Source organism: Homo sapiens, chromosome 6 (assembly GCF_000001405.40).
Source record: "Homo sapiens chromosome 6, GRCh38.p14 Primary Assembly".
NCBI lineage: Eukaryota > Metazoa > Chordata > Mammalia > Primates > Hominidae > Homo > Homo sapiens.
The window spans coordinates 83,862,848-83,876,028 of record NC_000006.12 but is presented as its reverse complement, the minus strand read 5'-3'; the positions used below and the strand labels follow the sequence as shown (position 1 = coordinate 83,876,028).

Here is a 13,181-nt window from a genome sequence, read left to right as displayed (position 1 = left end):
TAGAATATCCCTACTGTCAGAGGCGTTCGAACCAGAGCGACTCCATTTTGAGAGAGGGCTAGGAAAAAGAGGCTGGGACCTGCCAGGCTAAATTCCGAGAAAGTCAGACATACCTAGCCTCTAGATGTTTGTGGTTAAGGGAACAAATTAATAGTATCCACTAAACAGACCCAGACTTGGGAGTATCCAGATATCCTGATATCTGGAGAACAAAGGCATTCCTAATTTTTCTTCAAAGATAATAATATTGATTCTTGCAAAATGTAGTAATTAAGAAAATTAATCCTTTATCACAAACCCTTGTAGCAGAGCACATCTCCACATGTATACAAGCATTGTACCTAGGGTGGATGCGTTCCTCCTCTTACTCTCAGGAACACCCTACTCTGTCCTATGGAGTAGCTGTACTTTCACTACTTTACTTTCTTAATAAACTTGCTTTTACTTTGCACTGTGGACTTGTCCTGAATTCTTTCTTGCACAAGACCCAAGGACCCTCTCTTGGGGTCTGGATCGGGAACACTTTCCTGTAACCACAGAAGGGACCACAGTGCAGAAATCCTGACCCAATGGCTACCTTTGGGTAAGTGGTGGTGGTCCTGTAACACTACCATAATGTGGTTTAAAAGTCCTGCACATCCTGTAGTCCTAGCTACTCAGGAGGCTGATATAGGAGGACCGCTTAAGCCCAGGAGTTTGGGTCCAGCCTAGGCAGCATAGTGAGACTCAGTATCTAAAAAAACATTAAAATTTTAATTAAAAAATAAAAAGTTTTGCACATATCAAAATCTACACATGCCTCAAAGAACATTTACTGAATATTAACCATGAGCTATGCCCTCTGCCAGATGCAAGGGATATAGGGAGAAAAGTGGTACATTAATATCCTGAAACTTAAGAATAAAGACGGCCGGGCACAGTGGCTCACGCCTATAATCCCAGCACTTTGGGAGGCTGAGGCAGGCAGATCACAAGATCAAGAGTTTGAGACCAGCCTGGCCAACATGGTGAAACCCCATCTCTACTAAAAATACAAAAATTAGCTGGGCTTGGTGGTGCACACCTGTTATCCCAGCTACTCAGGAGGCTGAGGCAGGAGAATTGTTTGAACCTGGGAGGCGGAGGTTGCAGTGAGCCAAGATCGCGCCACTGCACTCCAGCCTGGCGACAGAGTGAGACTCTATCTAAAAAAAAAAATAAAAATAAAAAAATAAAGAATAAAGACAAAAATATAAAAAGTGGCCAAGAAAACGAAACAGATGTTCTAACAGAAGTCCTACATACCAGGTACAGAGGAAGAAAGCCTTGGGGAAGAAGCGATCAGGGAGGGTCAGAGTCAGGTTTTCAAAGATGAAGAGACTGAAGGAAAGAAGCTGCTGGAAGAATGAAAGGCAAGAATTGAAGATGTCAGACAATAAAGGACGACCAATGGCCCAACATGATAAAAAAGGCTGGAAAGGACTGGTAAGAACACATAAAGGGATTAGCCTTAGGGGGAAAAAAAAAAAAGGTCTGAGAAAGAATGAGGTCTTTGAGGCCTGGCACAGTGGCTCATTCCCAGCACTTTGGGAGGCCAAGGCAGGAGGATTGCTTGAGGCCAGGAGTTCAAGACCAGTCTGGGCCACACAGTGAGGCCCGGCTCTACAAAAAAATAATTTTTTTTTTAAAAAAGTAGCCAGGTATGTTGGTGCACACCTGTAGTTCCAGCTACTTTGGAGGCTGAGGTGGGAGGATTACTTGAGCCTAGGAGGTTGAGGCCACAGTGAGCTATGATCATGCCACTGCACTTTAGTCTGGGTGACAGAATGAGACACTGTTTCAAAAAAAATAAGAGGGAAGGGAAGGGAGGGGAGGGGAGGGGAGGGGAGGGGAAGGGAGGGGAGGGGAAGGGAGGGGAGGGGAGAGGAGGGGAGGGGAGGCAGGCAAGCAGGCAGGAAGGAAGTCTTTGAAAGAAGTGTCTTTCTGATAAAAAGGAGAAGACAGAATATGGCTACCACTTCAAGTTCCTTATATTCACTGTAAACACCTGCCCATGTACATAATTTCTTTTATCACAAAGAAATCACACATAAACACACCACCCATCCTTTGCATGCTTTTTCCTGAAGCCTGGAATAATGTTCCCATTCCTCTCCTTGCTTAGTTAACTCCCATGTATCCTTCAGGTCTCAGCTCAGTCTTCTGCGATCTTCACTCAGCACAGCACACCTCCTTAACAACACCTAACAGACTGGATTAACACTTTCTGTTCCCCGAGCAGATTGTCAATTCTATGAGAGCACAAGCCATCTCTATTTTAAATTTGTATTACCCTCCAGAACCTGGTGTAATGCACACGCATAGCAGACCCTTGAGAAATATTCATTAAATGAATGAACCAACAAAGGAAACTTAAAACCTGTCTTCTCTATATTTTATGAGCGACAACTACACACAGTCATACGAAAAAGCAAAAACTATGTTTCATCAAATTACTAAAGATAAAAACTGTCTCAGAAGGTGGCTCATGCCTGTAATCCCAGCACTTTGGGAGGCTGAGGCAGGTGGATCACTTGAGGTCAAGAGTTCAAGACCAGCCTGGCCAAGATGGTGAAACCCCATCTCTACTAAAAATACAAAAAATTAGCCGAGTGTGGTGATCGGTGCCTGTAATCCCAGCTACTTGGGAGGCTGAGGCACGAGAATCACTTGAACCCAGGAGGTGGAGATTGCAGTGAGCCAAGATCATGCTACTGCACTCCAGCCTGGGTGACAGAGTGAGACCCTGTCAAAAAAAAAAAAAAAAAAAAAAAAGAAGGATACCCTATATGATTCTTAACTAGCAATGTTAATTAACACGAGAAGAGTTATAAGTAACAGACACCCCATGATAATTTCTTAATTAATTTATGTTATGTCACTCAAAGTGAGAAACACACACAAATGCTAAAGCATGATTAACTTTAGAGCTGAATATAGTAAAACAGGAGGCAGCACAGTCTATAGTTTAAGTGTAAAGGCTTAGAATAAGGCTGCCTAAATTGAAACAGTGGCTCCATTCTCATCAGCTATGCCTTTGGCAAGTTACCAGACTCTCTGTGGTAGACATTAATGTTTTCCCCTAGCATCCAATCCCTTCTAGCAACAGTATCACTTTTTGTTCAGGGAACTACTCCCTGTCATATATGCTTCAGTTTGGTCCCACACTAGGCTACAGGATGCAGTTTGTGACCTAGGTTTAAGTGAGTAAGTATACCGTTTTCCCTGAAATAGAATTACTGTACCAGCAATGGGAACTTGATCAAAACTGTTACAATCAAAGTCAAATCTAAGACCTTTATCTCAGCTATTAGAGAAACAGAACAGAACTAGAAAATAACTAGGGTTGAAGTTTCTGTGATCATCTTCAGGCTATGAACTTAGCGTTAATCCTAAAACACAGTGATCTCAGAAGGGAAACCAAAAGATAATGTGAAAGCAGGTCCTGGGGACTTGGTCTGAGCCCCTGCATCAATCCTCACCTCTAACTTTTTAGTAACTTTTTGCTTCTGCTTAAGCCAAAATAGTTTTCTATCATTTACATCTATGACTCCCCACTAATAGATTTTATCAGCTTCAGTTTTCTTATTTGGTAAATGCGGATTCTCTAAGCTTCAGTACCCTCAATCTGTGAAATGGAGGACCTACCTCATTGGTCTGTTGTGAAAATTAACACTTAGCACATAGCATATAACTGACACATCAATAACCCTGCTAGGGTACTTAAAAAAAGGAAGCACTTTCTAAAAAGAATATTTAACTATATATGAGGTTTTAATTTAAACCTGAGAATTATGTGACTGGGTAATACATCTGAATGTGCAAAAAGATAATGGCAACAGCCAAACCATAAATAGGAGTAAAAATTGCCACTATCAAGTAATTCAGGCAATAACCAGGAATATAATGAGAGTTACTGCAGACTATCTCTAGAAATATAAGGATGCAAATGCTGAAGAAAAAAAATCTTAAACTAGCTATATCACTAATAAAAGTAACAAAATAGAAAACAACAAGTAATGAAACAACAAACAATGTAACAGAAAAGAAGCAACAGAGAAAATACAAACCAAAATTAGTTTATTCAAAATGTTAATAAAATTGATAAACTTCTAGTAAGACTGATCAAGAAAAAAAAGAGAGAAAAAATTAGCAACACCAGGAATGAAAAAGGATATATAGGGTATATCATAGAACTTAAAGACATTAAAGAAATAAAAAGGGAATATTACAAATAACTATATGCCAATATATTAAATGAGATAAAATTAATGAATTCATTGAAAAACACAACTAAAACTGACACAAAAGTAAAGAGAAAATTTAAATAGCCCTATATCCTTTTTTAAAATTAAATTTGTAATAAAAAAGAAAAACTTTCCCACAAAGAAAATTTCAGAATGTTGGCTGCAATTTCTAAACCACTGTGTCAACCAAACAGAACACCTGAGGGTTAGATAAGGCCCTCAGATCAGCAGTTTTTCCTCTCCACTAAATTTTTAATGAATGGGAGAGAAGTACAGAGAGAGAAAAAGTGAAAAAAAGGAGGAGAAGGAAAAGAGTGAATGACAATTTAGGAGATAAAGACAGGGTAAAAGTAAGAGAAAGCAAATAATCTTAGATGTTAGTAAGACAGGAATTAATACAATCGACAAAGACTAGATTATTTGCATAATCATGTGAAATAAGGCAACTTGAAAAATCTATGGGTTAGGTTAGAATTCAATGAACAGGCCAGGTGTGGTGGCTCACACCTGTAATCCCAGCAGTCTGGGAGGCCAAGGCTGTGGATCACCTGCGATCAGGAGTTCCAGACCAGCCTGGCCAACATGGTGAAACCCCCATCTCTACTAAAAATACAAAAAAATTAGCCGGGCATGGCTGCAGGCGCCTATAATCCCAGCTACTCAAGAGGCTGGGGCAGGAGACTCGCTTGAACCCGGGAGACGGAGGTTGCAGTGAGCCGAGATCGTGCCATTGCACTCCAGCCTGGGTGACAAGAGTGAAACTCCATCGCAAAAAAAAAAAAAAAAAAAAAAGCAAACAATGAAAGAAGGGACATGTACCACTAAAATAATGTTGATTTTCTTCCAGGCAGAACATTGTTGATTTGTATTCAAGGGAGAACACTGCCTTCTTTGACCTCAGCTAGGAACCTGCATGTTGGGCAACAAAGATTTTTTCACTGCTCTCTGCGTGTCTTTGAATGTCTAAAAGCACTGTGAGTACTGAGTTTGAGGTTACAAATACAGTGGGTTTTAATCTAACCTAAACAAGAAAATGGAAGAAGAGAGTTGTTCAAAAATCTGCCAAGAAAGTAATGATGATAGTACACAAAGTAAACTACAGAATGGTTGAACTAACTGTAATAATAATATATTATTATTTAGATAGTATATTACTGGGTTAATATGTTCTATTACAAATTAAAACATTAGTTCCAAATTTGAAAAACTGCTCCTAAAAGAGCAGGTAGAAAAATTTCCCTGCTATGGACAAATAACACTGCAGTTTCTGAAAACAGAAATGAACCAAGGAGCTAAGGAAACCTAGGAAAAAAAAAAAAACGGTTAGATAAATCAGCTCTATTTTTGGTGGGTCTGAATTTAACCCAAAAAGTACAAAGCTTTCGTTATCATTACTGAAGTATAAATAAAAGATAATCTAAAGAAATATAGTTGGTTATCCTTGTTCATAGCAATCATTTCCATAAAATTGCTGCAAACACTGAATTAGTAAATACTGACCCATTGCTCCTTGGAAAAAACACAAAGTTGGGTTCCTGTATGCTGCAAACACTGAATTAGCGAATACTGACCCATTGCTACTAGTAAAAAATACAAAGTTGGGTTCCTATGAGCCTATAATGACAACATGTTTGTCAACCAATCAATACATAAACTTGTTTAATGTGTGTTGCTGTTTAAAGACACCTTCTTTAATATATATTGTTGATTCATGAACATTGAACTCACAGACAACAGCTGTAACTCACTATAACTCAGGTCTGAATGAAACCTATCTGACATATATTTTCTCCATAAGGCATACTACAGCTTTCTTGCCACAGCACTTCAGCACTATTCTTGGGGGCCATTTTAAACAGTAAAAACACCAACCAAAAACACAAAAGTGTAAAAATTATGGCACTAAACAGACCTCAAAAACAGACACTTTTTTTTTTTTTGAGACGAAGTTATGCCCTTGTCGCCCAGGCTGGAGTGCAATGGTGTGATCTCGGCTGACTGGAACCTCTGACTCCCGGGTTCAAGCAATTCTCCTGCTTCAGCCTCCAGAGTAGCTGGGATATGTGCCACTATGCCCAGCTAATTTTTTGTATTTTTAGTAGAGCTGGAGTTTTGCCATGTTGGGCAGGTTGTTCTCGAACTCGTGACCTCAGGTGATCCGCCTGCCTTGGCCTCCCAAAGTGCTGGGATCACAGGCGTGAGCCACTGTGCCTGGTCAAAAAGACACTTTTTTACAGTATAAGAACTAAAACAAGAAGTCAGAACATAGCCTTGTCTAACCTCAGCTAGGAATGTGCACGCTGGGCAACAAAGATATTTTTCACTGCTCTGTGTGTGTCTTTGAATGAATAACAGACACTGTGAGTACTGAGTTTGAGGTTATGAACGCAGTTTAGCAAGTAGGTAAACTTGCAAATATAAAGTCCATGAATAATGAGGATCAACTATATTCACAAAAATTTACACTACCTTCCTATGAGTAAATTTTAAAAGGTCTGTTGTAAATGAACCTAGAAATCTAAATAACTGCAATGGAAATATAACAGGACTAAATACTACTTCTTAGGATCCACTTCACAAGTTTTAAAAAATAGTTATGAAATTAAAAATACAGACCCATTATAAGCCACTTTTGCAGTGGCATCAAGCAGGCCTCTTCAATTTACTAGTATATGACAATCAGCATAAGGAGAAATCAAAATGTGTTCATTTCTAAATAAGTAAAATCCATTAAAATACCATTTGGAGAACCTAATCTGCTAAATTTTTAGCAACAGGGACACTAGTCCTTTGGCTGTAGTCAACTTTTTTTGAAATACCATTTATTCAAATGGACTGTTATTGAGTATCAAGCCACACTTCCCTTACCCTCACTAAGATAAAAGGGTGAACCATGCTGCCCAAATGATGATTTCACTACTTAATGCATCATTACTAACACTGACTGTACTACAATAAAACATATCATATTACAGTAAAAACAGTCTGATCTAGGCTTGACAGAAGAACTCTCAGACGAGTGATTTAGCTACTTGCTCAACACTTTACATATCTGTAAATCTTTAGTTCTTGAGAAAGAGAGGGAGAAACAAGAGAGAAAAATATAAAAGCATGAATTAATGGTAAATTCAAGTTTTTTAAAAAAGCAGTAATCCCCCTACAAACCGATTTCTTCAGCATTCCAATTAACTACTACTGCATTACAATAATTACATACTTTACAGAAAATGGTGAAAATTAAATGAAAAAATTAGGAACTTGATACACGTCTTAGAGATCATTCCAAACTGATGCTCATTTTTTATATCCCACTGTCAGCCAAGTGCTGTTTTTATACCATCATTTTAAGGTATGTGACTAGGCTCGGCACACCTGAACATGAAGCAGAAATGCTGCTACTTATTCAAAAAAAGAAAACAGTCCCCAAAATATTAGTCATAAAAACCCATACCAAATTGTATATTTTCTAAGATTTCCTGAAGAAACTGATTGTGTCTCCCACATTGTGATCAGTTGAATTCAGACCTAATCTAAAAATGGGGCAATTGTCACAAAATGAAGGAATTAGTACTTTAAAAAAGGGAAAAAAAAAAGGCACTATGATACCATGCTTCCCTGTGGCACAGTTTTGATGAAAACTTGGGTCCAAACACTATCTCTAACCTTCAAGACTAAAGTTGGCACACACATTCCCCCATTAAGAAGCTATCAGTAATATTTTAAATTAGAACAGCTGTGAAGAAAAAGGTAATTTTGTTTAGTCATGTTGTCAGGTTCTAACTGAGGTCTGAGGGGAGTGGGTGGGCAAGTGGAGGGTAGCTGGAAAAACACTTGAGGAATCGCAGACAGTTTCAACATGGCTTTACTCTCTCACTGGGTGTGAGCAAGCTGTATGTACAGCGTAAGCAGGGCAATTATACTTTTTACAGACAATAGTGACTCAGAGCCAAGCACGAGCTCACATGACATGGTTACATAATGTGCGAGGTTATGTGCCTGCGCTCCAAACCCGCTGAGTCATGCTGTGCATACAGGCCACCTCGGCCTACTCCTGACTAAAGCACAGCCATTTCCCTTACACATGTAATTTTAGTTTCATTGGGATCGTGCTAGAAGTTACCAGTAATCTGTTTGTCTCACATTCATCCTATTATTCCATGACCTTTGTCAACATCCTGGTTCACCTCCTGTTATCATCCGAACTTCTGTAAGAAGATAAATGCTTTCCTTACCCTATTTCAATTCACCACACCTACCACCAGATTAATCTTTCCAAGGCATACTCTTATAACACTGTCCCCACATTCAAATCCCTTCAAGAGTACACACTGCCATCTATATGAGGAACACATTTCCCAGTCTGGCTTTCAAGGTTGTCCACAATCTGACCTAACATACCTTTCCAGCCTTCCTTCTTATAATTCTCCAACAATTAACCTAAGCTCCAGAACACCTCAAACTTTCCTGTGTTTGTACCTTTGTTCAGGCCTTTCCTTCCACCTGAGTGCACTTCCTCATTTCCTATTGAAATCCTGTCTACTGCTTCAAGGCTTATCTCTACCACAAAAGCATCCCTGATTTTCCTAACTCATGTGTCTCCCTTCCAACAGTCTGATATCACTTACACTTTGTAGCCCTCTTAAGGTGCTTCACTCTGCCTGCTAACAATAATTTATCCTTCCTCCATCAGCAGGGTCTAAACTGAGTATTTCTTGATAAAATAAAAGACCAAACTCTGTAAAAAGATTTAAAAAAAGACACATCTTATTTCTACAAAGAGGGGAAAACATCTTACTATAGATAGAGTAGAACATGTTCCCCAGCAGAAACCTCTAAAAAATTCATGGCCAGGTATGGTGGCTCATGCCTGTAATCCCAGCACTTTGGGAGGCTGAGGCAGGAGGACTGCTTGAGACCTGGAATTCAAGACCAGCCTGGGCAACAGAGCAAGACCCTATCTCTAGAAAAATATAAAAAATAAATAGCTGGGCATGGTGGTGCACACTTGTCATCCTAGCTACTTAGGAGGGTGAGGCAGGAGGATTACTTGAGCTCAGGAGGTCAAGGATGCTGTGAGCCAAGATCAAGCCACTGCACTCCAGCCTAGGGGACAAAGCGAGATCCTGTCTCCTTTATAAAAAAAAAAAACAAACCATGATTAATTCAACCACCTTACCAGACGAGGTGCTATACATTCAAATCATTACAGAGGATATGGAACCGGGAGCAGTGTAGAGGTTAAGTATCCCAAATTCATAAATCTGAAATGCTCCAAAATCTGAAACTTTTTGAGCTCCAATATATTTAACAGAAACACTCAATGGAGCATTTTAAATTTCCGGTCTTTGGATTTGGGATGCTCAACCAGTAAGTATATAATGCAAATATTCCAAAATTTGAAAAAATCCCAAATTCAAAATACTTCTGATCCCAAGCATTTTGGATAAGGGATACTCAACCTGTATCACTTTTCAAACACAGCAATCCAGTCCCTTGTCCCCATCAATACATCATATGAATAATAAAGTCTAACTGTATTCTAATAATGCCTCAATTATCTAATATCACTAGGATATGAAGGGTTCACATAATCAAGTTTTCTAAAGTGGTTTCCTAGTGCAGAAACAGAACTCAGGCATGCCTGCAGCCTGGGCCAGCTGAAAGGTGTTCTTGGGAAATTAATCTTGACTTCACCCTATCTAGCAGAAAACACTCAGGCACAATGGGGAAGTCATTTTGTACCAGTTACTTGCAGCTGGTAAACAGATAGGGAGCATGAAGGAAGGATAAAGAGGGTGGCAAAAACCCTATAAAATGTCAAAAGGATCTTTTTGCACCTGCCAGAATCCTCATTCCAGATTGCTGGTACCATTCACATTTGTAGGTCTCTGAGGAACTTTGGGGAGCTGAACACCTGTTATGTCTCAATATAAACTACGTCATCACCTGCTGGAAGTTTCCATACCCTTTGCCACTGAAAATTTCACACTCTAATTGTGTCTGTTATGGGTGGAACTGTGTCCCCCTCCAAATTCATAGGTTGAAGTCCTAACCATCAGTAGCTCAGAATATGACCTTATTTGGATATAGGGTTGTTACAGATGCAAAATTAAATGAGGTCATACTGGAGTAGGGGAGGTCCCTAATCGAGTATGATTAGGGTCCATATAAAAACAGAAAATCTGACCACAGACAAGCACATAGGGAATATGCCACGTGAAGATGAAGTCAGATATTAGGGTAATGTTCTATAAGCCAAGGAACTCCAAAGATTGCCAGCAAACCACCAGAAGCTAGGTGAGAGGCATGGAACAAATTGTTACTCAGTCATCAGAAGGAACGAACCCTGCTGACACCCTAATCACAGACTTCTAGCCATCAAAACTATGAGACAAATTTCTGTTGTTTAAGCCATCTAGTTTGTGGTCCTTTGTTACGGCATCCATAGGAAATTAATACAGCATTTATTGGTGTTGATATCACCAATCCACTGTGAAAACCACCAGATACCTCTTTAAGTGACCATACTTCTTAAAAGTAAGTGTTACACTCATTGAACAAATACAAGTCAATGGCCTCTATGTGCCAGCCACTCAGGACAGAGCAGTAAGACCAACAATGTCCCTGCCCTCATATAGGTTATAGTGCAGTCAGGATAACTGACAACAAACCAAAATTATACAATGATAAAATTACAATTGCATTAAGAACAAAAATGATATATTTCCCTTCCTCTCTAAACAGATGGTAAACACAGTTAACCATGCATGGAGCCTCATGGTATAGTTGGATGCCTTTCATTTTTATTTTTGTTCCCCTACTAGATATCAGGTTGTTGGCTACCACAAAGTCAGCTTTTATCAGCTACCTTCTTGTCTGCCTGCTCACCTCCTCCAATACATTTATATTTAATTTGGAGTTTCTAATGCACTCTGAGCTAAACAAAATCAAGTAACTAATATTGCTAAGAAACATATACCATGTAATGAAAATTGCTGCAAGTGAAAACTGAAGATTTGGCTTTAATGCAGGACTTTCAGGTTTACTTTAGATTCTCAGAGATTTTTTTTTTCCAACAGAATTCTGTTATAAGGCTCTGAGACAGAAAGTTATTGCTATATAAACTGGATTTTACCAAATAATTTTGTACTATATTGCCTGGCAAATGCTTGTTTCCTTTCAAAGGAAATGCAGTACAAGGAAGCAAGAAAAACTTTTTCGTATCAGAAGTTCACTGTTTTCTGCATCAGAATATAATGGTTACCTAAGGAAGAAATACTATCCAAAGTCAGAATTATATAAGTTATTGTCAAGCACAAGGCATATTTTTGTTAAATTGTCAATTGTTTAAAATAACATGACTGTGAGGTTATGTAACATCATAATTGGAAAGTTCAGGCAACATTTTTTGAAGGACTTAATAAATACCACCTACCTCTTATGCATATCCAACAATCATCTTTTTTGTTGTGTTTCTTAAGTTCTTCTTCAGTTACTTCAATTAACCTGCCTTTTAATCCCGTTAGATCCTTTCCACTTTTGGTCAGTCGAATCCAATCCATAAGGCTTCTGCCCTGTTTTAAAGGTACCTAAAAATGGAAAAAGGAAGAATTAAATCTAGCTTCATTACTTTTAATTCCATTTTAAAAGATAATAAAACTCAAATCTAACACTTCTATAAATCCTTTTACAGTTTTAAGAGGCTGTCAACATTGTTTATGCTGTATTTGAATTATAAAAGGTAGGGCTTAGAAATTCTACCACACAAATTTTCACCATATTGATGTCACAGTACAGTAGTCTATCAGTATTCCTGGGGGACTGGTCCTAGGACTTCCCCCTACCCTATACCAAAATCCAGGATGCTCAAGTGTCTCATATAAAATGGCAAAGTACTGACATATAACCTATGAACATTCTCACATATACTTTAAATAATCTCTAGATTACTAATAATACCTAAAGCAATGTAAATGCTATGTAAATGGTTGTTGTATTGCATTGTTTTATAATTCTTATTTTTTTATTGTTGTATTGTTATTTTTAATTTTTTTCCCCAAATATTTTTGATCTAAAGTTGGTTGAATCCTTGGACGCGGAACCCAGGGCTACACAGGGCTGACCATATAACAGGAATGGTATTGAACCAGAAACTAGAAAAGAGGTTCTGGTCCTGGCTCTGACATTAATATGTTACAGTTAACCAGTTTGGACCAAAATTTCTTCACCTTAAAAATCAAAGAGATTTGACAGAAGAAAAGGTAAAGAGACAATTAACTATAGTTGATTTTCTGGACTGTCAAGATAAACAGACTATTAGAAATCATTAGATAGCAATCTTATCTAAGAATCCATTGAGTAACAAAGTTTATCAAATAATGGAAAATAAAACTTGTAACACTGTAGGGAAGGGGTGGCAAACTATGGCCTGTACCTGTTTCTATACAGCCCTTGAGCAAAGAATCGTCTTCACATGTGGTGGTAAAGAGCCTGAAACCTTATGAGGCTCTCAAAGCCGAAAACACCACCTGGCCCTTTGCAGAAAAAAAACTGCCAACCCTTGCCTAGGGAACTTAGTAACAGGATGGTTTGGGTTTTTATTTTGTTTTGTTTTATAAAACACATTTTCAAAGTTTTCAGACGAGAAGTATTATTAGTACTTTGACCAGAACATTTTCAAGATATCTCTATGGAACTAAGCTTGTCTGACTAATTTGTAACGTAGTAACAGAAGAATGTTTAATGTAAAAGCAGACACATTCAAGGATGTTTACATATCTCACTTTCCTGAATCATATCTATTTTAGACATCCATTTACTCCCAAAGTAACCAAGTTAATAGGTCTGTGGTGCCTTTCACATTCTATCCTATCAATCTACATCATTCCATTCTGGCTATCACTGAAACTCTAGGTC

General features: G+C 38.4%; 2 protein-coding genes across 5 annotated transcripts in view, besides 1 other annotated feature; both read right to left on the bottom strand.

The window, feature by feature from the left end:
• RIPPLY2-CYB5R4 (RIPPLY2-CYB5R4 readthrough) overlaps positions 1-13,181 on the bottom strand; it is a 114,064-nt gene that overhangs the window by 91,395 nt on the left and 9,488 nt on the right. For all 4 annotated transcript variants that reach the window (NR_174604.1, NR_174605.1, NR_174603.1 and 1 more), the window contains one exon: positions 11,701-11,854. Coding sequence is in view for 1 of the 4 variants with exons in the window: in NM_001400774.1 (NP_001387703.1) it covers positions 11,701-11,827 (127 nt within the window). In the remaining 3 variants the exon portion in view is untranslated. The remainder of the gene's footprint in view (positions 1-11,700; positions 11,855-13,181) is intronic.
• CYB5R4 (cytochrome b5 reductase 4) overlaps positions 1-13,181 on the bottom strand; it is a 107,735-nt gene that overhangs the window by 91,395 nt on the left and 3,159 nt on the right. The window contains exon 2 of the mRNA NM_016230.4: positions 11,701-11,854. Coding sequence (NP_057314.2) covers positions 11,701-11,854 — 154 coding nt within the window. The remainder of the gene's footprint in view (positions 1-11,700; positions 11,855-13,181) is intronic.
• Positions 5,045-5,339: a silencer, noted in NCBI's record as "tiled region #3398; HepG2 Repressive DNase matched - State 9:DNaseU, and K562 Repressive non-DNase unmatched - State 23:Low". NCBI's record gives its function as "represses a minimal TATA promoter and a strong SV40 promoter by Sharpr-MPRA in HepG2 and K562 cells {active_cell/tissue: HepG2 | K562}" and the evidence as "EXISTENCE:reporter gene assay evidence [ECO:0000049][PMID:27701403]".